At 52.0% G+C, this 26,519-nt stretch overlaps 1 protein-coding gene across 1 annotated transcript, besides 8 other annotated features; it reads left to right on the forward strand.

Annotated features, from left to right (window-relative positions):
- Positions 6,582-6,631: an enhancer, noted in NCBI's record as "active region_14101". NCBI's record gives its function as "activates an Ori minimal core promoter by ATAC-STARR-seq in GM12878 lymphoblastoid cells {active_cell/tissue: GM12878}" and the evidence as "EXISTENCE:reporter gene assay evidence [ECO:0000049][PMID:35858748]".
- Positions 6,752-6,971: an enhancer, noted in NCBI's record as "active region_14102". NCBI's record gives its function as "activates an Ori minimal core promoter by ATAC-STARR-seq in GM12878 lymphoblastoid cells {active_cell/tissue: GM12878}" and the evidence as "EXISTENCE:reporter gene assay evidence [ECO:0000049][PMID:35858748]".
- Positions 7,012-7,191: a silencer, noted in NCBI's record as "silent region_10186". NCBI's record gives its function as "represses an Ori minimal core promoter by ATAC-STARR-seq in GM12878 lymphoblastoid cells {active_cell/tissue: GM12878}" and the evidence as "EXISTENCE:reporter gene assay evidence [ECO:0000049][PMID:35858748]".
- Positions 10,703-11,306: an enhancer, noted in NCBI's record as "H3K27ac-H3K4me1 hESC enhancer chr19:13079936-13080539 (GRCh37/hg19 assembly coordinates)". NCBI's record gives its function as "activates a minimal SCP1, AML or CMV promoter by ChIP-STARR-seq in naive and primed H9 embryonic stem cells {active_cell/tissue: H9 hESC(naive and primed)}" and the evidence as "EXISTENCE:reporter gene assay evidence [ECO:0000049][PMID:30033119]".
- On the forward strand, positions 11,157-16,341 carry DAND5 (DAN domain BMP antagonist family member 5). Its single transcript, NM_152654.3, has 2 exons — positions 11,157-11,565; positions 14,970-16,341. The coding sequence occupies exons 1-2, from the start codon at positions 11,242-11,244 to the stop codon at positions 15,213-15,215; spliced, it is 570 nt and encodes a 189-aa protein (NP_689867.1). The 5' UTR covers positions 11,157-11,241; the 3' UTR covers positions 15,216-16,341.
- Positions 11,307-11,909: an enhancer, noted in NCBI's record as "H3K27ac-H3K4me1 hESC enhancer chr19:13080540-13081142 (GRCh37/hg19 assembly coordinates)". NCBI's record gives its function as "activates a minimal SCP1, AML or CMV promoter by ChIP-STARR-seq in naive H9 embryonic stem cells {active_cell/tissue: H9 hESC(naive)}" and the evidence as "EXISTENCE:reporter gene assay evidence [ECO:0000049][PMID:30033119]".
- Positions 16,013-16,519: an enhancer, noted in NCBI's record as "H3K27ac-H3K4me1 hESC enhancer chr19:13085246-13085752 (GRCh37/hg19 assembly coordinates)". NCBI's record gives its function as "activates a minimal SCP1, AML or CMV promoter by ChIP-STARR-seq in primed H9 embryonic stem cells {active_cell/tissue: H9 hESC(primed)}" and the evidence as "EXISTENCE:reporter gene assay evidence [ECO:0000049][PMID:30033119]".
- Positions 25,167-25,416: a silencer, noted in NCBI's record as "silent region_10187". NCBI's record gives its function as "represses an Ori minimal core promoter by ATAC-STARR-seq in GM12878 lymphoblastoid cells {active_cell/tissue: GM12878}" and the evidence as "EXISTENCE:reporter gene assay evidence [ECO:0000049][PMID:35858748]".
- Positions 25,994-26,519: an enhancer, noted in NCBI's record as "H3K4me1 hESC enhancer chr19:13095227-13095752 (GRCh37/hg19 assembly coordinates)". NCBI's record gives its function as "activates a minimal SCP1, AML or CMV promoter by ChIP-STARR-seq in primed H9 embryonic stem cells {active_cell/tissue: H9 hESC(primed)}" and the evidence as "EXISTENCE:reporter gene assay evidence [ECO:0000049][PMID:30033119]".

Consider the following 26,519-nt stretch of genomic DNA (forward strand, 5'->3'; position numbering starts at 1 on the left):
TCGTCATTTAGCATTAGGTATATCTCCTAATGCTATCCCTCCCCCCTCCCCCCACCCCACAACAGTCCCCGGTGTGTGATGTTCCCTTTCCTGTGTCCATGTGGTCTCATTGTTCACTTCCCACCTATGAGTGAGAACATGCGGTGTTTGGTTTTTTGTCCTTGCGATAGTTTGCTGAGAATGATGGTTTCCAGTTTCATCCATGTCCCTACAAAGGACACGAACTCATCATTTTTTATGGCTGCGTAAAAATTATATTTTTAACTTTACTTTTATACATTTAAACTAGCATTTATTAGGCTGGGCTTGGTGGCTCACGCCTGTAATCCCAGTACTTTGGGAGGCTGAAGCGGGCGGATCACTTGAGGTCAGGAGTTGGAGACCAGCCTGACCAACATGGCAAAACCTTGTCTCTACTAAAAATACAAAAATTACCTGGGCGTGGTGGTGGGCGCCTGTAATCCCAACTACTCAGGAGGCTGAGGCAGGAGAATCGCTTGAACCTGGGAGGTGGAGGTTGCAATGAGCTGAGATCGTGCCATTGCACTCTACCCAGGGTGACAGAGTGAGACTCTGTCTGAACAAACAAACAGACAAAAAGCCCACTAGCATTTATTATTTTTTTAATGTAAATGTGGCTGAACGCGGTGGTTCACACCTGTAATCCCAGCACTTTGGGAGGCTGAGGCAGGTATCACTGAGGTCAGGAGTTCGAGACCAGCCTGGCCAACATGGTGAAACCCCGTCTTTACTAAAAATACAAAAATTGGCTGGGTGCGGTGGTGCACACCTGTAATCCCAACTACTCGAGAAGCTAAGGCAGGAGAATCGCTTGAACCCGGGAGGCGGAGGTTGCAGTGAGCTGAGATTACACCACTGCTCTCCAGCCTGGGCAACAGATCGAGACTCTGTCTCAAAATAAATAAATAAATAAATAAATAATTCTGTCACATGCTGTGACATGGATGAACCTTGAGGACATTAGGCTAAGTGAAAGAAGCCAGTCACAAAAGGACAAATATTGTATGATTCCACTTATATGAGGTAACTAGAGTAGTCAAATTCATAGAGACAGAAAGTAGATTAGGAGTTCCAGGGGTTGGGGGTGGAGGAGTGGGAGTTATTGCTTATAATGTATAATATATTTTATATTGTAAAATATACAAAATAAATAAAACGAATTTGTGTTTTGTTTTGTTTTGAGTCAGAGTCTCGCTCTGTCTCCCAGGTGAGAGTACAGTGATGCAATCTTGGCTCACTGCAACCTCTGCCTCCCAGATTCAAGGGATTTTCGAGCCTCTGCCTCCTAAGTAGCTGGGACCACAGGCGCAAGCCACCAAGCCTGGCTGATTTTCATATTTTACTAGAGACGGGGTTTCACCACGTTGGTAAGGCTGGTCTCAAACTCCTGACCTTAAGTGATCTGCCCACTTCAGCCTCCCAAAGTGCTAGGATTACAGGTGTGAGCCACCATGACTGGCCACGTTTTTTTTGTTTTTTTTTTTTTGTTTGTTTGTTTTTGAGATGGAGTTTAGCTCTGTTGCCCAGGCTGGAGTGCAGTGGTGCGATCTCCGCTCACTGCAAGCTCCGCCTCCGGGGTTCACGCCATTCTCCTGCCTCAGCCTCCCGAGTAGCTGGGACTACAGGCGCCCGCCACCACGCCCGGCTAATTTTTTTGCATTTTTAGTAGAGAGGGGGTTTCACCGTGTTAGCCAGGATGGTCTCGATCGCCTGACCTTGTGATCCACCCGCCTCGGCCTCCCAAAGTGCTGGGATTACAGGCATGAGCCACCGCGCCTGGCCTGTTGTTTTTGTTTTTAATCACACACGCACACCTTCTCTACCCCCGCAAAAAATAACTGCAGTTTTCTCAAGACATGAATGTTCATAGCAACACCACATATATATGTCATTACCAAGCTGGAAATAGCTCACACCCAATGTCCATCTGAAGTAGAATGGACACCTAAATTATGCTGTTTCAGCCAATGGAATACTACACAGGAATGAAAGAGCAAATATTACATCTTCTCACAGAAGATGGATGATGCTTATAAGCATAATGTGCAACAAAGGAAGAGGACCTATATGATTGCTTTTTAAATTTTATTTTTTTGAGACAGGGTATTGCTCTGTTGCCCAGGCTAGAGTGCCCTGGCTCGGTCATAGCTCACTGCAGCCTTGAATTCCTGGGCTCAAGCAATCCTCCCGCCTCAGTCTCTTCAGTAGCAAGACTATAGGCATGAACCGCTACTCCCACCTACATTTTAAATTTTTTTGTAGAGACGGGGTTTCTCTATGTTACCCAGGTTGGTCTTGAACTCCTGGCTCACCTCCCCTCCCCTCCCCTCCTTTCTTGACAGGGTCTCACTGTTGCCCAGGCTGGAGTACACTGGCATATCACTGCAGCCTCAATCTCCTGGTCTCAAGTGGTCCTCCCACCTCGGGCTCCTAAGTAGCTGGAACTTCAGGCACTCACCATCAAGCCTGGCTAATTTTTGTATTATTTGTAGAGATAGAGTCTCAATATGTTGCCCAGGGTGGTCCTGAATTCTGGGACCCAAGTTATCCTCCCACCTTGGCCTCCCAAAATGTTGGAATTACAGGTATGAGCTACCATGCCTGACCTCAGAATTTTTTCATCTTGCAAACCTGTAACTCTATACACTCACTCCCCAGTTTCCCTTTCGCCCAGTCCCTGGCAGTCACTATTCCTTTTTTTTTTTTTTTTTTGAGACGGATGGAGTCTCGCTCCGTTGCCCAGGCTGGAGTGCAGTGGCGCGATCTCGGCTCACTGCAAGCTCCGCCTCCCGGGTTCACGCCATTCTCCTGCCTCAGCCTCCCGAGTAGCTGGGACTCCAGGCACCCGCCACCACACCCGGCTAATTTGTTTGTATTTTTGGTAGAGACAGGGTTTCACCGTGTTAGCCAGGATGGTCTCGATCCCCTGACCTCGCGATCTGCCCGTCTCGGCCTCCCAAAGTGCTGGGATTACAGGCGTGAGCCACCGCGCCCGGCCTGGCAGTCACTATTCTACCTTGTTTCTATGAATTTGACTACTCTAGGTACCTCATATAAGTCGAATCATACGGTACTTGTCCTTTTGTAACTGGCTTATTTTTTATTTTGAGACAGAGTCTTGCTCTGTTGTCCAGGCTGAAGTGCAGTGGCACAATTATTATAACTGGCTGCAGAATCGACCTCCTGGACTCAAGTGATACTCCCACCTCAGCCTCTCAAGTAGCTGAAACTACAGGTGCTCACCTGGCTAATTTTTTTTTTTTTTTTTTTTTTGAGACAGGGTTTCGCTCTGTCGCCCAAGCTAGAGTGCAGGGGCGCCATCTCGGCTCACTACAAGCTCCGCCGCCCGGGTTCACGCCATTCTTCTGCCTCAGCCTCCCGAGTAGCTGGGACTACAGGCGCCCGCCACCACGCCCGGCTAATTTTTTGTATTTTTAGTAGAGACGGGGTTTCACCATGTTAGCCAGGTTGGTCTCGATCTCCTGACCTCGTGATCCTCCTGCCTCGGCCTCCCAAAGTGCTGGGATTACAGGCGTGAGCCACCACACCTGGCCTTTTTTTTTTTTTTTTTGAGACAGAGTACTTACTCTGTTGCCCAGGCTGGAGCGCAGTGGCATGATCTCGGCTCACTGCAACCTCTGCCTCCCAGGCTCAAGCAATTCTCATGCCTCAGCCACCTGAGTAGCTGGGACTACAGGTGTAAACCACTGCACCTGGGGCTGGCTGATTTTAATTAGTATAATATCCTAAAATTTCTTTCTTTCTTTCTTTCTTTCTTTCTTTCTTTCTTTCTTTCTGTCTGTCTGTCTGTCTGTCTTTCTTTCTGTCTGTCTTTCTTTCTTTCTTTCTGTCTTTCTTTCTTTCTTTCTCTTTCTTTCTTTCCTTCTCTTCTCTTCTCTCCTTCCTTCCTTCCTTTCTTTCTTTCCTTCCTTCCTTTCTCTTTCTTTCGACATTCTCTCTCTATCGCCCAGGCTGGAGTGCAGTGGCACTGTCTTGGATCACTGCAACCCCCACCTCCCCGGTTCAAGCAATTCTTGTGCCTCAGCCTCCCGAGTAGCTGGGATTACAGGTGCCCGCCACCACACCTGGCTAATTTTTGTATTTTTCGAGGTTTCACCATGTTGGCCAGGCTGATCTCAAACTCCTGACCTCAAGTGATCTGCCCACCTCAGCCTCCCAAAGTGCTGGGATTACAGGTGTGAGCCACCGTGCTTGGCATATCCTAAAGTTTCATCCATGTTGTAGCACGTGTCCGAATTTCTTTTTTTCTTTTTTTTGTATTTTTAGTAGAGACGGGGTTTCCCCGCATTAGCCAGGATGGTCTCAATCTCCTGACCTCATGATCCGCCCGCCTCAGCCTCCCAAAGTGCTGGGATTACAGGCTTGAGCCACCGCACCCGGCCAACGTGTCAGTATTTCTTTCCTAGCCTGGGCAACACTGTGAAACCCTGTCTCTCCAAAAAATACAAAAATTAGCTGGCTATGGTGGTGCATCCCTGTAGTCCCTCCTACTTGGGAGGCTGAGGTGGGAGGTCAATTGAGCCTGGGCGGTGAAGTCTGCAGTGAGCTGTGAGTATGTCAGTGCACTCCAGACTGGGTGACAGAGCGAGACTGTCTCAAAAAAAATTTTTTTTTTCCTTTTTAAGGCTGAATGCTATTCCATTGTATGAATGGACCACATTTTTTTTTTCCCAATTGCAGATGTCAGGCTGAAAGAATGGACCACATTTTAGGCTGGGCACGATGGCTCATGCCTGTAATCCCAGCACTTTGGGAGGCCGAGGCAGGCGGATTACAAGGTCAGGAGTTCGAGAACAGCCTGTGGTGAAACGCTGTCTCTACTAAAAAGACAAAAATTAGCCGAGCGTGGTGGTGCGTGCCTGTAATCCCAGCTACTCAGGAGGCTGAGGCAGGAGAATCGCCTGAACCCAGGAGGTGGAGGTTGCAGTGAGCCAAGATAGCGCCACTGCACTCTAGCCTGTGTGACAGAGTGAGACTTCGTCTCGAAAAAAAAGAAAAAAAAAGCGGCCAGGCACGGTGGCTCACGCCTGTAATCCCAGCACTTTGGGAGGCCGAGACAGGCAGATCATGAGGTCAGGAGATCGAGATCATCCTGGCTAACATGGCGAAACCCCGTCTCCACTAAAAATACAAAAAATTAGCCGGGCGTGGTGGCAGGCACCTGTAGTCCCAGCTACTCGGGAGGCTGAGACAGGAGAATGGCGTGAACCTGGGAGGCGGAGCTTGCAGTGAGCCGAGATTGCACCACTGCACTCCAGCCTGGGCAACTGAGCGAGACTCCGTCTCCAAAAGAAAAAAAAAAAAGAATGGTCTACATTTTGTTTATCCATTTATCTGTACGTGGACATTTGAGCTGTCTCCAATTTTTGCCTATTGTGAATAATGATCTTATGAACATGGGTGTACAGCATTTCTTCTTCTTCTTCTCCTTCTTCTCCTTCTCCTTCTTCTTCTCTTTCTCCTTCTCCTTCTTGTTCTTCTCCTTCTTCTTCTTTCTTCTTTCTTCTTCTTTTTATGAGACAGAATCTTACTGTGTCATCCAGGCTGGAGTGCAGTGGCACGATCTTGGCTCACAGCAACCTCTGCTAGGTTCAAGCGATTCTCTTGCCTCAGCTTCCCAAGTAACTGGGAGTACGACCGGGCACAGTGGCTCACGCCTGTAACCCCAGCACTTTGGGAGGCCAAGGTGGGTGGATCACCTGAGATCAGGAGTGTGCACCACCACGCCGAGCTAATTTTTTTTTGTATTTTTAGTAGAGATGAGATTTCGCCATGTTGGCCAGGCTGGTCTCAAACTCCTGGCCTCAAGTGATCTGCCCACCTCCACCTCCCGAAGTGCTGAGGCTTTTATTCTTTTTTTCCCCGCTGAGACAGAGTCTTGCTCTGTCATCCAGGCTGGAGTGTAGTGGTGCAATCTCAAGTCACTGCAACCTCTGCCTCCCAGGTTGAAGCAATTCTCCTGCCTCAGCCTCCGGAGTAACTGGGATTACAGGCACACGCCACCACGCCCAGATAATTTTTGTATTGTTAGTAGAGACAGGGTTTCACCATGTTGGCCAGGCTGGTCTTGAACTCTTGACCTGGTGATCCACCTGCATTGGCCTCCTAGAGTGCTAGGATTACAGGCGTGAGCCACTGTGACCAGCCTGGTTTTTATTCCTTTTTTTTTGTTTGTTTGTTTTTTGAGATGGAGTCTCGCTCTGTCACCCAGACTGGAGTGCAGTGGTGCAATCTCAGCTCACTGCAAGCTCTGCCTCCCTGGTTCACGCCATTCTTCTGCCTCAGCCTCCCAAGTAGCTGGGACTACAGGTGCCCACCACCACACCTGGCTAATTTTTTTTTTTTTTTTTAGTAGAGACGGGGTTTCACCGTGTTAGCCAGGATGGTCTCGTTCTCCTGACTTCGTGATCCACCCACCTTGGCCTCCCAAAGTGCTGGGATTACAGGCGTGAGCCACTGTGCCCATCCTCAGGTGTTTATTCTTAGTGAAATAAAGTAGCATAGAATCAAATTACCAGATTGTTTCTAGTAATTACTGTCACACTGTGGGCCTCCTCCTGAGGCTTTTTTCTGAGGGAGATGAGAGCCATGGAAGGTTCTCATCACAGGGACCAGTCTTGACTCAGGTGCTCACAGGCGCCCTCTGGCCGCTGTGGGGGGAATAAACTGTGGGGGGCCGGTGGCCAGGGCGGGAACTGGGAGACCTGGAAGGAAGCGACTGCACTGATCCAGGTAGGGGGACAAGGAGTGGGTGAGAAGCGGGCGGATTCTGGGTAGATTCTGGAGCTGACCGGAGTTACTGTCATATAAGATTGGGGGCGGGGATGGGTGTTAGAGAAAGAGATAGGTCAAAGGTGCTCTCCAAAGTTTGGAGCCTTAGCACCTGGCAGGACAGAGCTGCCTTTAACTGTGTCTAGAGGACAGCAGAAGGGCAGGTTGGGGGACAGTCAGGAGCTGGGATGTAGCAGAGCTGGGTGGGAAGCACGCCCGCCCCTCCAGGCTTGGCCTCTGGGAGGCGGGTGTCCTGGGCGCGGCCGCCGCACAGTCCCGGGAGCCGCCGCCAGAGGGCGAGCACGCCGCATCGCACTCGCAGCTCCGTGGAGGGGAGGGCGCGGGAAAGGCTGGCCTGGTCTCTTCCCACGGCCCCCCGGCCTCCAAGCTCCTCACCTGGGTGCGAGATAGAGGTGCCAGGATCCAGCCAGGACCCCCCAGACACCTCCGGGGCCCCAAAGCCTGGGATACGACTCTCACCCTCTTTATCTGCTTCTAACACTCCCAACCTCCACCCCCACACCAAGCTGTTCCCACCGCCTCCAGCGCCATCTCAGGTGTCTGTAAAAATGCCACCTACTCGGGGAGGCCTTCCCTGACCACCCTGGAGACAGAAGCCCCCGCCCTGACGCCTCTAAGGAACATCCCATTTTAGCAGCTTCTTAATCAAGACTGTGAAATGATCTTTATTATTATTATTATTAATATTTTTGAGAAGGTCTCACTCTGTCACTCAGGCTGGAGTGCAGTGGTGTGATCTGGCTCACTGCAACCTTCGCCTCCCGAGTTCAAGCAATTCTTCTGCCTCAGCCTCCAGAGGTAGCTGGGGTTACAGGCTCATGCCACCACGCCCGGCTAATTTTTTTTTTTGAGACGCAGTTTTACTCTTGTCCAGGCTGGAGTTCAATGGTGTGATCTCGGCTCATCGCAACCTCCGCCTCCCGGGTTCAAGCGATTCTCCTGCCTCAGCCTCCCGAGTAGCTGGGATTATAGGCATGTGCCACCATGCCTGGCTAATTTTGTATTTTTAGTACGGACGGGGTTTCTCCATGTTGGTCAGACTGGTCTCGAACTCCTGACCTCAGTTGATCCACCCGCCTCAGCCTCCCAAAGTGCTGGGATTACAGGTGTGAGCCACCACGCCCAGCCTTGCCCGGCTAATTTTTGTATTTTTTAGTAGAGATGGGGTTTCGCTATATTGTCCAGGCCTCAAGTTATCTGCCCTCCTCGGCCTCCCAAAGTGCTCGGATTACAGGCATGAGCCACTGCGTGCGGCCCCTTAATTATCTTTTATTGTCTGTTTTCTGCACCGTGTAAAATCCATGGCATTTTCTGTCTTGTCCTCCTGTATCACCAGGGCTCAGGATTAAGTCTGGCCTATACTGAGTGTTAAAGGAAAAAAAAAAAAAAAACAGCTGGGCAAGGTGGCATGTGCCTTTAATCCCAGCACTTTGGGAGGCTGAGGCAGGAGGATCACTTGAAGCCAGCAGTTTGAGACAAACCTGGTAACATAGTAAGATCCCGTCTCTGTGAAAATTTAAAAATCAGCCAGGCCGGGTGCGGTGGCTCACGCCTGTAATCCCAGCACTTTGGGAGGCTGAGGCGGGCAGATCATGAGGTCAGGAGATCAAGACCATCCTGGCTAACACGGTGAAACCCCATCTCTACTAAAAATACAAAAAATTAGCCGGGTGTGGTGGTGGGCGCCTGTAGTCCCAGCTACTCGGGAGGCTGAGGCAGGAGAATGGTGTGAACCCGGGAGGCAGAGCTTGCAGTGAGCCAAGATCGCTCCACTGCACTCCAGCCTGGGCGACAGAGCGAGTCTCCGTCTCAGAAAAAAAAAAAAAAAAAAAAAAATCAGCCAGGCATGGTGTTGTGTACCTGTAGTCTCAGCTATTCGGTGGGTTTGAAACAGGAGGATTCCTTGAGTCTAGGAGGTTGAGGCTGCAGTGAGATGCAATTGTGGGACTGCATGCCAACCTGGGTGACAGAACAAGACCCTGTTAAAAAAAAAAAAAAGCCAGGTGCGGTGGCTTACACCTGTAACTCCAGCACTTTGGGAGGCCAAGACGGGCAGACTGCCTGACCTCAGGAGTTCAAGACTACCCTGGGCAACATGGGGAAACTCCATTTCTACTAAAAAAAAAAAAAAAAAAAAATTAGCCAGGCATGGTGGCAGGGGCCTGTAGTCCCAACTACTCGGGAGGCTGAGGCAGGAGAATTGCTTGAACCCAGAAGGCGGAGGTTGCAGTAAGCTGAGATCACACCACTGCACTCCAGCCTGGGGGTGACAGAGGGAGACTGTCTCAAAGAAAAAAAAAAGAAGAAGAGAAAAACAAGTCAGGCAAGATAGCTTCCTGTGCCTATATTCCCAGCATTTTGAGACCTGCTTTTCAAGACCAGCCTGGGCAACATAGTAAGACCCTGTGTCAAATAAAAAAATAATAAAATAAAAAGAACTGGCAGGGCATGGTGGCTCATGCCTGTAATCCCAGCACTTTGGGAGGCTGAGGTGGGCGGATCGCTTGAAGTCAGGAGTTCGAGACCAGCCTGGCCAACATAGTCTCTACTACAAATACAAACATTAGCTGGGCATAGTTGTTCACATCTGTAATCCCAGCTACTTGGGGGGCTGAGGCAGGAGAATCACTTGACCCCAGGAGGCAGAGGTTGCAGTGAGACGAGACACAGTGAGACTCTGTCTAAAAAAAAAAAAAAAAAAAAAAGAACACAAAAACCCAGCAACAATAATGTTACTCAGAGCTGATTCATGGTGTTACTGTGTAGGAACCTCTGTTTTAAGCTCCTTACATAAATTACCTCCTTGAGTCCTCAGAATAACCCAATGAGATAGGGACTGTTTTATCTTCATATTACAGAAGAAGAAGGTAGGGACCAGGATGGTTAAGGGATTTACTCAAGGTTGCACAGCCAGGAAATTGCAATGCCTAGGCCGAACCCAAGAAACCTGGCTGCAAGGTATGCTAGTTTTTAATTTTTTTTGAGACAGAGTCTCACTCTGTTGCCCAGTCTGGAGTGCAGTGGCGCGATCTTGGCTCACTACAACCTCCGCCTCCCGGGTTCAAGCGATTCTCCTGCCTCAGCCTCCTGAGTAGCTGGGATTACAGGCATGTGACACCACGCCTGGCTACTTTTTGTATTTTTAGTAGAGACGGGGTTTCACTTATGTTGGCCAGGCTGGTCTTGAACTCCTGACCTCAGGTGATCTGCCCGCCTGAGCCTGCCAAAGTGCTAGGATTACAGGTGTGAGCCACCGTGCCTGGCCATAATTTTTGTATTTTTATTTTATTTATTTTTTAATTTTTTTTGAGACAGAGTCTCACTCTTGTCGTCCAGGCTGGAGTGCAGTGGCGCGATCTTGGCTCACTGCAAGCTCCGCCTCCTGGGTTCAAGCGATTCTCCTGCCTCAGCCTCCTGAGTAGCTGGGATTACAGGTGCCCACCACCACGTTCAGCTAATTTTTTTTGTATTTTTAGTAGAGACGGGGTTTCACCATGTTGGTCAGGCTGGTCTCAAACTCCTGACCTCGTGATCTGCCCGCTTCGGCCTCCCAAAGTGCTGGGATTACAGGCGTGAGCCACCTCAACTGGCGAATTTTTTTTTTTTTTTTGAGACGGAGTCTCGGTCTATTGCCCAGGTTGGAGTGCAGTGGCGTGATCTCCGCTCACTGCAAGCTCCGCCTTCTGGGTTCAGGCCATTCTCCTGCCTCAGCCTCCCGAGTAGCTGGGACTACGGGCGCCCACCACCACGCCCGGCTAATTTTTTGTATGTTTAGTAGAGATGGGGTTTCACCATGTTAGCCAGGATGGTCTCAATCTCCGGACCTCGTGATCTGCCCACCTCAGCCTCCCAAAGTGCTGGGATTACAGGCGTGAGCCACCGTGCCTGGCCAATTTTTGTATTTTTAAAGTAGAGATGAGGTCTCACCATGTTGACCAGGCTGGTCTTGAATTCCTGACGTCAGGTGATCCTCCCGTCTCGGCCTCCCAAAGTGCTGGGATTACAGGTGTGAGCCACTGAGCCTCACCCAAAGTGTGCTTTTGCTAATTGGAGAATCGGGGTCCCAGGACTGGAAATGCAGCTGCCCAGGGTCTTCAGACATTGTGTGTCTCGGCCCCTGGCCCCAGACCTGTCTTTCCTGGTCCCCACAGCTCGCACACAGCAGGACCAGCCCCCATGTCTCTCAGCAAGTTGGGAGGAGGTGTGGGAACCCAGCTGGTCTGAATTTACTCTCCTCCCCCGCTGTGGGTCTACAGAAATGCCTCCCAGGCTATCCAGGAGGGGCCAAGAGATTAAAAGCAGGTTCAGAAGGCTCAGATGCCACTCACCAGACAGCAGGGTCGACTGCTAGTGACCTTGAGCCCAGTCCGGACAGACAGACAGGCAGACAGACGCACGGACAAGCAGATGCTCCTTGGCCAGCTATCCACTCTTCTGTGCCTGCTTAGCGGGGCCCTGCCTACAGGCTCAGGGAGGCCTGAACCCCAGTCTCCTCGACCTCAGTCCTGGGCTGCAGCCAATCAGACCTGGGCTCTGGGCCCAGGGGCCCTGCCCCCACTGGTGCCAGCTTCTGCCCTTGGGAGCTGGAAGGCCTTCTTGGGCCTGCAGAAAGCCAGGCAGCTGGGGATGGGCAGGCTGCAGCGTGGGCAAGACGAGGTGGCTGCTGTGACTCTGCCGCTGAACCCTCAGGAAGTGATCCAGGGGATGTGTAAGGCTGTGCCCTTCGTTCAGGTGAGTGGGTGGGTGTGGGGAGGAGAGGGCTGGGTCTCACCATTGGCAGAAGGCACAGGCTGTGGCCCAAGAAAGATTTGGGTTCAAGTCCTGTATCCTCCACCTGAATGTCTCGGTGCCTCAGTTTCCTCCCTTGTAAAATGCGACCCAAGCCTCCTCTATCCTGGTCTCCTTGATTCCACTATCATGCCCCTCTCCACCCCCCAGTCTATTTTTCCACTCAGCAGCCAGAGGGTGCCTGTGAACACCAGAGTCAGATCTGGTTCCCCCTCCCCCTAGAACCTTGCATGGCTCCCACTTTACTCAGAACAAAAGCCCAAGTCCTCTTCACAGCCCACAAATTTCTGTACTCTCTGATCCTGTTACCTCCCTGATTTCACCTCCTCCCACTCTCCCCCTCAGTTACTTTGCTTCTACACATCAGCCTCCTTTTCCTCAGACACCAACTTTCTTTCTGTTTTTTTAGACACGGGAGTCTCGCTATGTTGCCCAAGCTAGTCTTGAGCTTCTGGCCTCAAGCAATCCTCCCACCTCAGCCTCCTGAGTTCTAGGTGTGAGCCCGTCTCTTGCTTGATATACCAACTTTCTTTCTTTTCTTTCTTTCTTTCTTTTTCTCTTTCTTTCTTTCTTTTCTTTCTTTGTTTTTCTTTTTTTCTCTTTCTTTCTTTCTTTCTTTCCTTTCTTTCTTTCTTTTCTCTCTCTCTCTTTCTTTTTTTGAGACAGTCTCACTCTGTCACCCAGACTAGAGGGCAGCAGTACAATCTCGGCTCACTGCAACCTCCACTTCCTGGGCTCAAGTGATTCTCGTGCCTCAGCCTCCCAAGTAATTGAGATTACAGATGTGCACTACCATGTCCGGCTAAATTTTGTACTTTTTGTAGAGACGTGGTTTGGCCATGTTGGCCAGGCTGGTCTCGAACTCCTGACCTCAGGTGACCCGCCTGCCTCGGCCCCCCAAGTGCTGGGATTACAGGCGTGAGCCACTGCGCCAGGCCAATGAGAAGTCTCTTATGAGGAAGATGGCTCAGGATTTAAGCAGAGAAGGACCAGGATTTGGGGGAGAGATGATAGATCCACTTGGAGGGGATCATAGGAGGAACTAACATGCATTGAGCACCTACTTTGTGCCAGGCAGTGGGCTAAGGGCTTTCTGTTGGATGCTTCCGGGCTCCTGTGATACTGCTGTCCCTTCCCCCTAGGGTGCTAGTTGGCTTCCTACTGGTACCATCATCAGGCCATCTTATCATCATATCCTGCTTGGCTTTTCTTTACTTTTCTTTTCTTATTATTTATTTTATTTTATTTTATTTTTGAGATAGAGTCTCGCTCTGCTGCCCAGGCTGCAGTGCAATGGCGCGATCTCAGCTCACTGCAACCTCCGCCTCCCGGGTTCAAGCGATTCTCCTGCCTTAGCCTTCCGAGTAGCTGGTTTTACAAGCACACGCCACCATGCCCAGCTAATTTTTGTATTTTTAGTAGAGACGGGCTTTCACCATGTTGGTCAGGCTGGTCTCAAACTCCTGACCTCATGATCCACCTGCCTCGGCCTCCCCAAGTGCTGAGATTACAGGCATGAGCCACTGCACCCGGCCTTCTTTACTTTTCTTTTCAGGTTTTTGTTTTTTGAGACAGAGTCTCACTCTGTCGCCTAGGCTGGAGTACAGTGGTGCAATCTCGGCTCACTGCACCTCCATCTCCCGGGTTCAAGCAATTCTCCTGCCTCAGCCTCCCGAGTAGCTGGGACCACGGGCGCCTGCCACCATGCTCAGCTAATTTCTGTATTTTTAGTAGAGGCGGGGTTTCACTATGTTGGCCAGGATGGTCTTGAATTCCTGACCTCAAATGATCCACCCACCTCAGCCTCCCAAAGTGCCAGGATTACAGGCGTGAGCCACCACACCCGGCCTTTTCATGTTTTTTGTTAGAGACAGGGTCTTACTCTGTCACCCAGGCTGGAGTACAGTGGTGCGATCATAGCTCACTGCAGATTTGAATTCCTAGGATCAAGCAATCCTCCTGCCTCAGCCTTCTGAGTAGCTAGGCCTACAGACGCACAGCATTAGCCCAGCTAATATTTTTTTTTTTTTTTTTTGAGACGGAGTCTCGCTCTGTCGCCCAGGCTGGAGTGCGGTGGTGGGATCTCGGCTCACTGCAAGCTCCGCCTCCTGGGTTCACGCCACTCTCCTGCCTCAGCCTCCCAAGTAGCTGGGACCACAGGCGCCCACCACCACGCCTGGCTAATTTTTTTGTATTTTTAGTAGAGACGGGGTTTCACCATATTAGCCAGGATGGTCTCGATCTCCTGACTTCGTGATCTGCCTGCGTTGGCCTCCCAAAGTGCTGGGATTATAGGCATGAGCCACCGTGCCTGGCTAGCTCAGCTAATTTTTTTTTTTTAATTTCTTTGTAGAGACAGGGTCTTACTATATTGCCCAGGCTGGTCTCAAGCCACCACATCCCGCCCTTGGCTTTTAACTCCGAGGTAACCAATTCCCTGAATTAGTCCTCTTTGTTGAAAGGCCTAAAGTGATTTCTTCTTTTTCTCATTTAATTAATTTATTTGTTTATTTATTTCGGAGACAGAGTCTCGCTCTGTTACCCAGGCTAGAGTGCAATCATGATCTCAACTTGCTGCAACCTTCACCTCCCAGGTTCAAGCAATTCTTCCACCTCAGCCTCCCATGTAACTGGGATTACAGGTGTAGGTGCCCATGCCCGGCTAAGTTTTGTATTTTCAGTAGAGATGGGGTTTCGCCATATTGGCCAAGCTGGTCTCAAACTCCTGGCCTGAAGTGATCCGCCCACCTCAGCCTCCCAAAATGCTGGGATTACAGGCTTGAGCCACCACACCTGGCTGTCTTTGTTGAATTTCTTTTCTTTTTTTTTTTTTTTTTTTTGAGACGGAGTCTCGCTCTGTCCCCAGGCTGGAGTGCAGTGGCGCTATCTCGGCTCACTACAAGCTCCGCCTCCTGGGTTCACACCATTCTTCTGCCTCAGTCTCCCGAGTAGCTGGGACTACAGGCGCCCACCACCACGCCCGGCTCATTTTTTGTATTTTTAGTAGAGACGGGGTTTCACCGTGTTGGCCAGGATGGTCTCGATCTGCTGACCTCGTGATCCGCCCGCCTTGGCCTCCCAAAGTGCTGGGATTACAGGCGTGAGCCACCGCGCCCGGCCCTTGTTGAATTTCAATGATTTTCCAGGTGAGGAAACAAAAGCTCAGAGAGGCTAAGTAATTTGCCCCATGTCTCAGCCAAGAGACAGCAGAGTCAGGATTTGAACCCAGGCAGCCTGGCTGCAGCATCCATGCCTGTCAAGGTGGGGTGGAAGTGGACAGGTGATTATCCTCGCCACTCTGGCCCCAAACTCCGCCACCCTGACCGTCTCCATGCCTCCGGCCCCAGGTGTTCTCCCGGCCCGGCTGCTCAGCCATACGCCTCCGAAATCATCTGTGCTTTGGTCATTGCTCCTCTCTCTACATCCCTGGCTCGGACCCCACCCCACTAGTCCTGTGCAACAGCTGTATGCCTGCTCGCAAGCGTTGGGCACCCGTGGTCCTGTGGTGTCTCACTGGCAGCTCAGCCTCCCGTCGACGGGTGAAGATATCCACCATGCTGATCGAGGGGTGTCACTGCAGCCCAAAAGCATGAACTGAGCATCGTGGATGGGTGCACGGAGACACGCACCTTGGAGAAATGAGGGGAGATGGACCAAGAAAGACGTGGACCTGGATGATGTACTCTGGGTCAAGAGACCAGGGATGCAGGGTTAGGCAGACAGGTCCCCAGAGTCCTCACCCTGCTCCCCAGACAGTAGACACAGTGCCCGTCCTGGAGTTGCACCACTGATAGTCACAGCACACAATGATTGACAACTCACTTTTTTTTTTTTTTTTTGAGATGGAGTCTCGCTCTGTCGCCCAGGCTGGAGTGCAGTGGCGCAATCTCAGCTCACTGCAAGCTCCACCTCCCGGGTTTATGCCATTCTCCTGTCTCAGCCTCCCGAGTAGCTGGGACTACAGGCACCCGCCAACACGCCCGGCTAATTTTTTGTATTTTTAGTAAAGACAGGGTTTCACCGTGTTAGCCAGGATGGTCTCTATCTCCTGACCTCGTGATCTGCCTGCCTTGGCCTTATTATTTTTTTTTTTTAAGGACAGAGTCTCTCTCTGTCACCCAGGCTGGAGTGCAATGGCGCGATCTTGGCTCACTGTAACTTCCACTTGCCAGGCTCAAGCAGTTCTCCTGCCTCAGCCTCCTGAGTAGCTGGGACTACAGGCACCCGCCACCATGCCCAGCTAATTTTTGTATTTTTAGTAGAGACAGAGTTTCACCATATTAGCCTGGCTGGTCTCAAACTCCTGGCCTCAGGTGATCTGCCCACCTCGGCCTCCCAAAGTGCTGGGATCAAATCCACTGTTAATCATTAGGCTGAACTGTCTCTTATAGAATGAGGTCAAAGACACTCCCAGTTGCAGGGAGGGTAGATGGCCCCACCCAGACCGAGAGACACAGTGATGACCTCAGCCTAGGGACACCAAAAAAGAAAAAAAAAAAAACCCAAACCAAAAACGCAAACCAAAGCAGGCAGGCAGACAGCTGCTGGGGGAAATCCTGGGGTCCTTGAGACAGAGGCAGGACCCTCGTGTTCCCAGCTGCCTCTTGCCTTGATAGTGGTGCTGTGTCCCTCTCAGACCCCCCACCTGAGTCTCCACAGAGCCCCACGCCTGGCATGGCATTCCACAGAAACCATAAAGGTTGGCTGAGTCCAGCTGTCTATATGTGCATCTGTTTGTTCCTCCAACTGGGGTTCCCTGGGAGTGGGTGGCCCCATGACAGGGTGTGGGCATCTGAGTGCTCCCTCCCCAGCTGGGGCTCAGGGTCTTCAGCGGGCGAGGGCGGCCTGGCTTTGGGCGGCTGGAACCAGGGCCCTGGCAGATGGGCCTGTCTGGCACAGACGCAGGGACATGTGGCGTTGTCAGTGTTGCCTCCAAATGCCCCCCGGAGCGTGGGGCGGGGAGCCGGCCAGGCCCTTCTCAGCCCTCTTCCTGCCTCAGGAAGGAAGGCCTCAGGTGAGGGGAGCAGGAGGGGACCCGAGGAAACAGATGGGCCAGTGGGGCGTGGGAGCCTGAGACCCCTGACCTCACAGGCCTCACAGAGAGATGGGAACGGGACAGGCAGGCAGCTCCCAAGGCCCCTTGCTCGAAGGGCCCTGGAGGGGAGGGTCATGAAGGGCTCTGGGGGGGCTGCCCCATCCCTGTTCCCTCCAGAGTTCTGTGCCAAACCCCAGGCAGTGTCCGAGTGGGCAGCTCAGCCCTGGCACCATGGGCAAGCCCCCCTCTGGTGGGCATGAGGCATTTGCCTTCCCTCCCTCTGCTGTGCCCACCTCCTGCCAGCCAGGGGAGCCAGCTGGGAACCTTGGTGCCAGGGGAGCCCCCAGAGTCCCTGTCCCCTCCCGGGCAGTGCCAGCCGGCCCCTGCCCCGCCCCCCCAGGCCCAGTAATGGGTGGGTAATGAGTGCTGGGGGAGCGGGGGAGGGGCAGGGGATGCAGGTGCCACAGGCGCTGGCACGGGGGCCGCTAATCAGGTTTGCCAACGCCATCTGTCACCGCACGAGCATCTGGGGCTCAAGGTGACCCTGTCACCCTCAGTTACAATTATGAGTTTGGCATCTGTATTAAAGCCCGCCAGCCGGCCAGGCGGGGGACGGCTGGGGTGGGCACGGGGTTGCACGGTGAACCCCATCCCTGGGGTACCCTTCCCAGGGGCTGCGTGGCTGCCAGGCGTGGAGCTTCTTAGGGGACTATGTCTGTGTGTGTATGTGTGTGTGTGTGCACACCCATCCCAGTCTCCACAATTCTTAAAGTGTGTCCGGGTGCAGGGCTGGAAATCATAGGTTTGTGTGTGTCTCCATGGTGGCTGTGTGTCTAGGAGTTTGGTGGGCTGGCTGGGGGCGGAGCTCTGAGATTTTGTGGGTGCACAGATGTTCGTGCATCTGCATGCTGGGACAAGAACGTATGGAGGAGGGTGTCTCTTTGGATGATGGTGTGTCTTTTTCTTTTATTAGTAGTATTAATTATTATTCTTATTTGAGTCAGGGTCTCGCCCTGTCACCCAGGCTGGAGTGATCATGGCCCGATCCCTGCAGCCTCAAACTCCTGGGCTCAAGTGATCCTCCCTCCTCAGCCTCCCGAGTAGCTGGGGCTACAGGCTCATGACACCACGCCCAGCTAATTTTGTTTATTTTTTTGTAGAGACAGGGTCTCACTGTGTTGCCCAGGCTGGTCTCGAACTCCTGGGCTCAAGCCATCCTTCTGGTTTGGCCTTCCAAAGTGCTGGGATTATAGGCGTGAGCCACCACACCCAACCTGATGGGGTGTGTGTGTGTGTGTGTGTGTGTGTGTAAATGCACAGGGGTAGGTTGGGAGGGGTATCAGCTTTGGGAGAGGCCATGTGCAGTACTGCTGAGCTCCTCAGCTATCCCTTTGTTTCTATCTTCGCCAACTCCTGCTACGTGGCTGTGATCTGGAGGGCTCTGAGGACGGCTTAAGAATCTGGATTTTGGCTGGGTGAGGAGTCTCACGCCTGTAATCCCAGCACTTTGGGAGGCCAAGGCAGGTGGATTCATTGAGCTCACAAGTTCGCAACCAGCCTGGCCAAAATGGCAGAACTATGTCTCCACAAAAATATATTAAAAATTAGCTGGGCGCCGGGCGTGGTGACTCATGCCTGTAATCTCAGTACTTTGGGAGGCTGAGGCGGGTGGATGACCTGAGATCAGGTGTTCAAGACCAGCCTGGCCAACATGGCGAAACCCCGTCTCTACTAAAAATATAAAAATTAGCCAGGCGTGGTGGCGCGTGCCTGTAATCCCAGCTACTTGGGAGGCTGAGACAGGAGAATCGCTTGAACCCAGGAGGCGGAGGTTGCAGTGAGCCAAGATGGCGACACTGCACTCCAGGCTGGGCGACAAAGCAAGACTCCATCTCAAAAAAAAAAAAAAAAAAAATTAGCTGGGCATGGTGGTGTGTACCTGGAACCCCAGCTACTCAGGAGGCTGAGGTGGGAGAATGGCTTGAGCCTGGGAGGCAGAGGTTGCAGTGAGCCAAGGTTGTGCCACTGCTTTCCAGCCTGGGTGATAGAGCCAGACCTTGTCTCAAAAAAAAAAAAAAAAAAGAAAGAAAGCTCTCAATTTTGTAAGGTAGCCTTTGGATTCTAAATTCTTGGAGCTAGATTCTGGGTCTGGTGGATTCTAGTTTTGAGCAATAGGATCTAGATTTTTGGAATCTGAATCCCGGAGTATGGTTTCAGTGGCACCATCATAGTTCACTGCAACCTCAGACATGTGCCACTACACCCAGCTAATTTTTAAGTTTTTTGTAGAGATAAAGTCTTGCTATGTTGCCTATCGTGTCCCAAACTCCTGGCATCAAGTGATCCTCACGCCTTGGCCTCCCAAAATGCTGAGATTATAGCTGTGAGCCACCACGCCTGGCTGAGTTCGTGGATCTGGAGTATAGATCTTGGTATGATTGGAATCTTTTTTTTTTTTTTTTGAGATGGAGTCTCACTCTGTTGCCCAGGCTGGAGGGCAGTGGCGCAATCTCAGCTCACTGCAAGCTCCGCCTCCCAGGTTCAAGCGATTCTCCTGCCTCAGCCTCCTGAGTAGCTGGGATTACAGGTGCCCACTACCACACCCAGCTAATTTTTATATTTTTAGTAGAGACGGGGTTTCGCCATGTTGGTCAGGCTGGTCTCGAACCCCTGACCTCAAGTGATCTGCCTGCCTTGGCCTCCCAAAGTGCTGGGATTACAGGCATGAGCCACCGTGCCCAGCCCGGTATGATTGGACTCTAGATGCTGATCCTGGGTCCTGGGATCTGGATTACCGGCTCTTAGTTCTGTATCTGCGTTCCTGCTTCTGGACTTCAGTCTCTGGGCCTGTGTGCTCTGTGTCCTCTCTGTCCACAGCTCCAAGTTCAGCAACTGGGCGGCTGCCTGTCGTCCCTCCATGGATGGGTGCAGAGACCACCTATGGCCACCAGGGGACACCCTTGGTCTACATTTGGTCCAAGCTGCCCGACTGGAGGAGGAGTCTGGGACCACTGTGGCCCAGTTGGACTCAGCCCTTTCAGGAGGACCAGGGGCTGGACATCACTTTCCCCCACTTCCATCCCAGTCTCTGCTGGGACCTGAAATCTGTCAGCCCCCACTGACTCAAACGTGGAGAACTGGACTGAGCACCCCCACAGTGTTCTGAACAGTACCGTGGGACAAGGTGCCTGCCCAGTGAGTAGGTCAGACCCAGGGTTGAAGCCATGTGTGTCCATGAGGGTGACAATGAGTGTCTGAAAACGTGTCCAGGTGTGAAGGCGAGGGTGCACCATTCATCAGGAGTGGCCACATATGACAGCATTGCTAAGAAGTGTGAGCCTGGGAGGCGCGGTGGCTCAGGCCTGTTGTCCTGGCGCATAAGAAAGTGAGGCCCAAGGCCGGGCGGGCGGATCACGAAGTCAGGAGTTCGAGACCAGCCTGACCAACATAGTGAAACCCCGTCTCTACTAAAAATACAAAAATTAGCCTGTCGTGGTGGCGCGTGCCTGTAATCCCAGCTACTTGGGAGGCTGAGGTATGAGAATTGCTTGAACCCAGAAGGCGAAGGTTGCAGTGAGCTGAGATAGTGCCACTGCACTCCAGCCTGGGCAACAAGAGCAAGACTCCGTCTCAAAAAAAAAAAAAAAAAAAAAAAAGTGAGGCCAGGCGTTCAAGCCCTCATCTATGTAACAAAACAACAACAACGACAACAAAAATGTGAACCTGTGTGTTGGATGGTGTGTGGCCACCACTCACTGTATTCACATGTCTGATAAGGTCCTCATGAGACAGTGCACCTACACGGTTGTGTCTATAACTGGGAGATGTCACCAGGAGCCCTTGTATGAGTCCGTGTCCATGTCATATTCATGTGTCTGCGTCTATGATTGTGTCACTAGGAATCTATAGGTATCCATAGGTATGACTGGGACCATCTAGGGGAAGTGTCACTGGGTGACGGTGTCCTGGAGTGTCAGAAACAGTGTCCTGGCTGGGTGCAGGACCTGTAATCCCAGCACTTTGGGAGGCTGAGGCGGGCAGATCACCTAGGTCAGGAGTTCAAGACCAGCCTGGCCAACATGGTGTAACAGTGTCTCTACTAAAAATACAAAAATTAGCCAGGCATGGTGGTGTGTGCCTATAATCCCAGCTACTAGGGAGGCTGAGGTGGGAGAATCGCTTGAACCTGGGAGGCAGAGGTTGTAGTGAGCTGAGATCATGCGCCATTGCACTCCAGCCTGGGTGACAGAGCGAGACTCTGTCTCAAAAAAAAAAAAAAAAAGAAGCAGTGTCCCAGCACTTTGGGAGGCCAAGGTGGGAGGATCATTTGAGCCTAGGAGTTCAAGACCAGCCTGGGCAACATAGCAAGACCCTGTCTCTACAAAAAATTTAAAAAATTAGCGGAACATGGTGGCATGCACCTGTAGTCTCAGCTACTCAGGAGGCTGAGGTGGGAGGATCACTTGAGCCCAGGAGTTCAAGGCTGCAGTGAGCTATGATTGTGCCACTGCACTCCAGGCTGGGTACCAGAGCAAGACTTTGTTTCAAAAATAAATAAATATGGCTGGACATAGTGGCTCATGCCTGTAATTCCAGCACTTTGGGAGGCTGAGATGGGCAGATCACCTGAGGTCAGGAGTTCGAGACCAGCCTGGCCAACATGGCGAAATCTGGTCTCTACCAAAAATACAAAAATCAGCCAGATGTGGTGGCATGTGCCTGTAATCCCAGCTACTCGGGAGGCTGAGGCAGGAGAATGATGGAACCCAGGAGACAGAGGTTGCAGTGAGCTGAGATCGCACCACTGCACTCCAGCTTGGGCGACAGAGTGAGACTCCATCTCAAAATAAATAAATAAATAAAATAAAGAAGCAGTGTTCCTGAAGGCTGAGCCTCTGTGTCAACAGTGTCTTATCAGGGGCTGTGTGAAGGTGTGTAGGACAGAGGGTATGCTTTCTGAGAGTACCAAACCAGGGTGAGTGGAAGGGGCAGGTGGGACCAGAGACTCTCAGAGCAGGGAGCTGGGGTTGTTTCCAAGTTTCTCTCCTTCATTCCCTCACATCTGGGTATATCTCACCCTCCATCTTGCTATGTCTTTTTTTTTTTCCCTTGGGACAGGGTGTGGCTCTGTCACCCAGGCTAGAGTGCAGTGGTGCGATCATGTCTCACTGCAGCCTCAAACTCCTGGGCTCAAGTGATCCTCCCACCTTAGCCGTAGCTGGGACTACAGGTGCAGGACACCACGCTTGGCTAATTAAAAAAATTTCTTTTTTCTTTTTCTTTTTCTTTTTTTCTTTTCTTTTTTTTTTGAGACAGTGTCTCACTCTTGTTGCGCTGGCTGGAGTGCAATGGTGCAATCTCGGCTCACTACAACCTCCGACTCCCAGGTTCAAGCGATTCTCCTGCCTCAGCCTTCCAAGTAGCTGGGATTACAGGCGCATGCCACCACACCTGGCTAATTTTTTGTAGTTTTAGTAGATACGGCGTTTCGCCATGTTGGCCAGGCTGGTCTTGAACTCCTGACCTCAGGTGATCCACTCGCCTTGACCTCCCAAAGTGCTGGGATTACAGGCGTGAGCCATCGCGCCCAGCCCTTAACATGTTTTTTGTAGAGATGAGGTCTTACCATGTTGTCCAGGCTGGTCTCAAACTCCTAGGCTCAAGCATTCCACACACCTTGGCCTTTCAGAGTGCTGGGATTACAGGTGTGAGCCATCACACCCGGCCGCTATGTCTTTCTATGGCTGTGTGTCCTCTGACCTCTCAGCACTTCTGACTTTGTCTGGCTATCCCCATTCCCCTGATTTTTTTTTATTTTTTATTTTTATTTATTTATTTTTTTTGAGACAGGGTCTCACTCTGTCGCCCAGGCTGGAGTGCGATGGTGTGATCTCGGCTCACTGCAACTTCTGCCTCCCAGGCTCAAGAGATTCTCCTGCCTCAGCCTCCCGAGTAGCTGGGATTACAGGCGTCCACCACTACTGCCCGGCTAATTTTTCTATTTTTAGTAGAGACAGGTTTTCACCATGTTGGCCAGGCTACTCTTGAACTCCTGACCTCAAATGATCCACCCGCCTCGGCCTCCCAAAGTGCTGGGATAACAGGCGTCAGCCACCGCACCCAACCCCCCATCCCCTGATTTTTCCCATTGCTAAGCACAGCACACCAGGCAAGGAGGGTCCAGGGGTATTGGCTGACTGGTCCTGTCCCGTCTCTCACCCCAACCCTTCCTCTCCCATCTTGCTCCCGGGCTCTGCCTCTCCGTGGTCTTCTCCCTCCACCCGTCCTTCCTCATTGGTGTGTTTCTCTCCACCTTCCAGGTCTCTCCCGTTGTTTCTCCCTCTTGGATTCCCCATGTCTTTCCCTATCTCTGTCTCTGTCTTTGTCTCTCTTCTGTCTCTTTCCCCACCTTTTTTTTTGTGAGACGGAGTCTCGCTCTGTTGCCCAGGCTGGAGTGCAGTGGTGTGATCTCGGCTCACTGCAAGCTCTACCTCCCAGGTTCACGCCATTCTCCTGCCTCAGCCTCCCGAGTAGCTGGGACTACAGGTGCCCTTCACCACGCCCAGCTAATTTTTTTGTATTTTTAGTAGAGACGGGGTTTCACCATGTTAGCCAGCATGGTCTCGATCTCCTGACCTCGTGATCCGCCCGTCTTGGCCTGCCAAAGTGCTGGGATTACAGTCATGAGACACCGCGCCCGGCCTCCTTTTTTTTTTTTTTTTTTTTTTTTTGAGACACAGTCTCGCTCTGTTGCCCAGGCTGGAGTGCAGTGGCGTGATCTTGGCTCACTGCAACCTCCACCTTCCAGGTTCAAGTGATTCTCCTGCCTCAGCCTCACAAGTAGCTGGGATTACAAGCATGCACCACCACACCCATCTAATTTTTGTATTTTTAGTAGAGACGGGGTTTCACCATGTTGGCCAAGCTGGTCTTGAACCCCTGACCTCGTGATCTGCCTGCCTCAGCCTCCCGAAGTGTTGGGATTACAGGCATGAGCCACTGTGCCCTGCCTTCTTTCCCCTTTTGTGTCTCATTTCTCCCACTCCATCTCCTCTTGTCCATTCTTCCCAGCCCTAAATCTTCTCCTATTTATGTCTCTTTTCATCTCTCTCCTTTTCTCCTAATTTTTCCCTGTCCCTCTCATCTCCCTATCTCTCCTCCTTTTTTCTCTTGTTTATTTATGTATTTATTTTGAGACAGAGTCTCGCTCTGTCACCCAGGCTGGAGTGCAGTGGCGTCATCTCTGCTCACTGCAGCCTCCACCTCCCACATTCAAGCAATTCTCGTGCCCCAGCCTCCGGAGTAGCTGGAATTACAGGCACGTACCACCACACCCGGCTACTTTTTGTATTTTTAGTAGAGACGGGGGTTTCTCCATGTTGGCCAGGCTGGTCTCGAACTCCTGACCTCAAATGATCCGCCCACTTCGGCCTCCCAAAGTGCTAGGATTACAGGTGTGAACCCCCATGCTCGGCCTCCTCTCTCCCTTTATCTCTGTCTCTTCCCGTTTTTTTTCTCTCCCAGTGTCTCCTTATCTGCCTCTCCCTGCCTAGTCTCCCGTCTCTCTCCATCTCTCAGTCTCCGCATCTCTTCTCTCATCATGTCTCTCCCATCTTTTTTCCCCTCATTTCTCTGTCTCTCAGTCTCTCCAGCTTTTCCTGTGTCTCTGTCTCTCCCCATCTCTGTCTCTCCATACCCAGTCCCCATGTCTCTCCATCTCCATGTCTCCCCATCTCTTCTCTCTCCCCATCTCTCTCATCTCTTTCTTTCTTTCTCTTTTTCTTTCTCTCTCTCTCTCTCTCTCTCTCTCTCTCTCGCTTTCTTTCCTCTCTTTCTCTGTCTCTCTCTCTCTCTCTCCTTTCTTTCTTTCTGACGGAGTCTCACTCTGTCGCCAGGCTGGAGTGTAGTGGGGAGATCTTGGCTCAGTGCAACCTCTGCCTCCCGGGTTCAAGCGATTCTCCTGCTTCAGCCTCCCGAATAGCTGGGACTACAGGCGCGCACCACCATGCCCGGCTAATTTTTTGTATTTTAGTAGAGACAGGATTTCATCATGTTGGGCTGGATAGTCTCGATCTCCTGACCTCGTGATCGGCCCGCCTCGGCCTCCTAAAGTGCTGGGATTACACTGCGCTCGGCCTCTCATCTGTTTCTTTCCCCATCCTTCTGTCTCTCAATCTCTCCAGCTTTCTCCGGCCCTCCCAGTGTCTTCATCTCTCCCCATTTCTGTCTCTCCCCACCAGGTCTCCCTATCTCTTCCCATCTCTCTCCGCATCTCTGGGTCTCCCATCTCTGGTCTCTCCCTGTCTCTCTTTTTTCTCTCCCCATTTCTCTGTCTCTCCCCATCTCCGTCTCTCTCATCTCTGGTCTCTCTCATCTCTGGTCTCTCCCTGTCTCTCCTGTCTTTTTCCCTCCCCATTTCTCTGTCTCTCCCCATCCCGGTCTCCCCGTCTCTGTCGGCCCGGGTGGGTCCGGGTGGGTCCGGGACGGCCCGGCCCGGGCGCCGCGGCGAACAATGCCCCATTCACGCGGGCCGCCGGCGCCATGGCAACGCGCCCGCCCCGCCCTCCCTGCGCGCGGGCCGCGCGTGCCAAGAGGATGCCATGGTTACGTCAGGCGCGTGCCCGTCGCGCGCGCCGCCGTCCCGCGCGCTCTTGCAGGGAGGGGCCAGGCCAGCAGGGGGCGCGCGGCAGTAGCCTCTGCCCGGAGTCAGAAGGGGCGGTCTTCCCCACTTCAAGGGGCCTTCAGCTGCTTAGTGCCTCAGTTTCCCCATCTGTAAAACGGGGGCGATGGGCAAAGCTAGATCGGAGTGTGAAAGAGACAGAAGGAGGAAGGGAGAAAGGGGAAGAAGGCGGCGGTGCTCCTTGGGGATGGTTGTGTGTCTGAGTTTGCATGAGTCAGTGGGTATATGTGTGTGCGAATTTGTGGGTCCATGTTTGCGCGCTTGTGTGGGTGTTTTATGAGAAGTTGAGAAGTGGTTGGTTGTAATTTGGGGGTGACTTGGGGCCCATGTGTTTGGAAGTGTGTGTGTTTGTATTTGCACACTTGTGTGTGATGGTATTAGCCGGTATCATTTGTGTGTGATAATGTGTCCGTGTGTTTGTGGTCCTGTGATTGTGCACCCCATGTTTGCCTGTCTGGTGTGTGGTGTGTATAGTGGGTGTCTGTGGTTTGGGTGTGGTTGTGGGTTCGGGGAACTATGTGTCCCATGTTTGCATGTCTGGGGTGTGTGTGTGTGTGTGTGTGTGTGGTGGGTGTCTATAATTTGGGTGTGGTTGTGAGTTCATGTAACTGAACCCCATGTCTGAATGTCTGGTGTGTGTATGTGTATGATGGGTGTCTGTGGTTTGGGTGTGGTCGTATGGTTGTGAGTTCATGTGACTGTGCACCATGTTTGCATGTCTGGTGTGTGTGTGTGTGTGTGTGGTGGGTGTCTATGGTTTGGATGTGGTGTGTGTGGCTGTGTTTGCATGCCTGGTGAGTGTGTGTATGGGTGTATGTGTGTCTGTGATGGTGGATGGCTGTGTTGTTGGGTGTGATTGTGAGTTTGTGTGAATGTTGTTTGCGTGTCACGGGGCCTGTGTTCACAAACTCACGTGTGCTTCTGTGTGGAACTGGGTGTGGGTTCTGAGGACTTCGGGGACCTGGCCAAGTCTCCCTCCCCCACCTGGGGGCCTCCTGGCACGGAAGGGGGTGACCAGCTGCCTGGGACCTCCGACTCCCCACAGGTTCAGGAGAGCCCCAGCTGATGAATATTCATGAGGTGGGGGGGCTGGCACCCACTGCCAACAGCTGCGTGTCCATTAGTCCCCCTCCCTGCTCTTCCTGTACTGACTGCAAAGGGGAGGGGGGGTGTCGGCGTGTG

Source organism: Homo sapiens, chromosome 19 (assembly GCF_000001405.40).
Source record: "Homo sapiens chromosome 19, GRCh38.p14 Primary Assembly".
Taxonomy (NCBI): Eukaryota; Metazoa; Chordata; class Mammalia; order Primates; family Hominidae; genus Homo; species Homo sapiens.

Coding starts and splice junctions, on each gene's coding strand:
- DAND5 (NM_152654.3), top strand. CDS start 11,242: ATGCTCCTTGGCCAGCTATCCACTCTTCTGTGCCTGCTTAGCGGGGCC. Junction 11,566..14,969: donor AGGCTGTGCCCTTCGTTCAG/GTGAGTGGGTGG, acceptor CTCCGGCCCCAG/GTGTTCTCCCGGCCCGGCTG.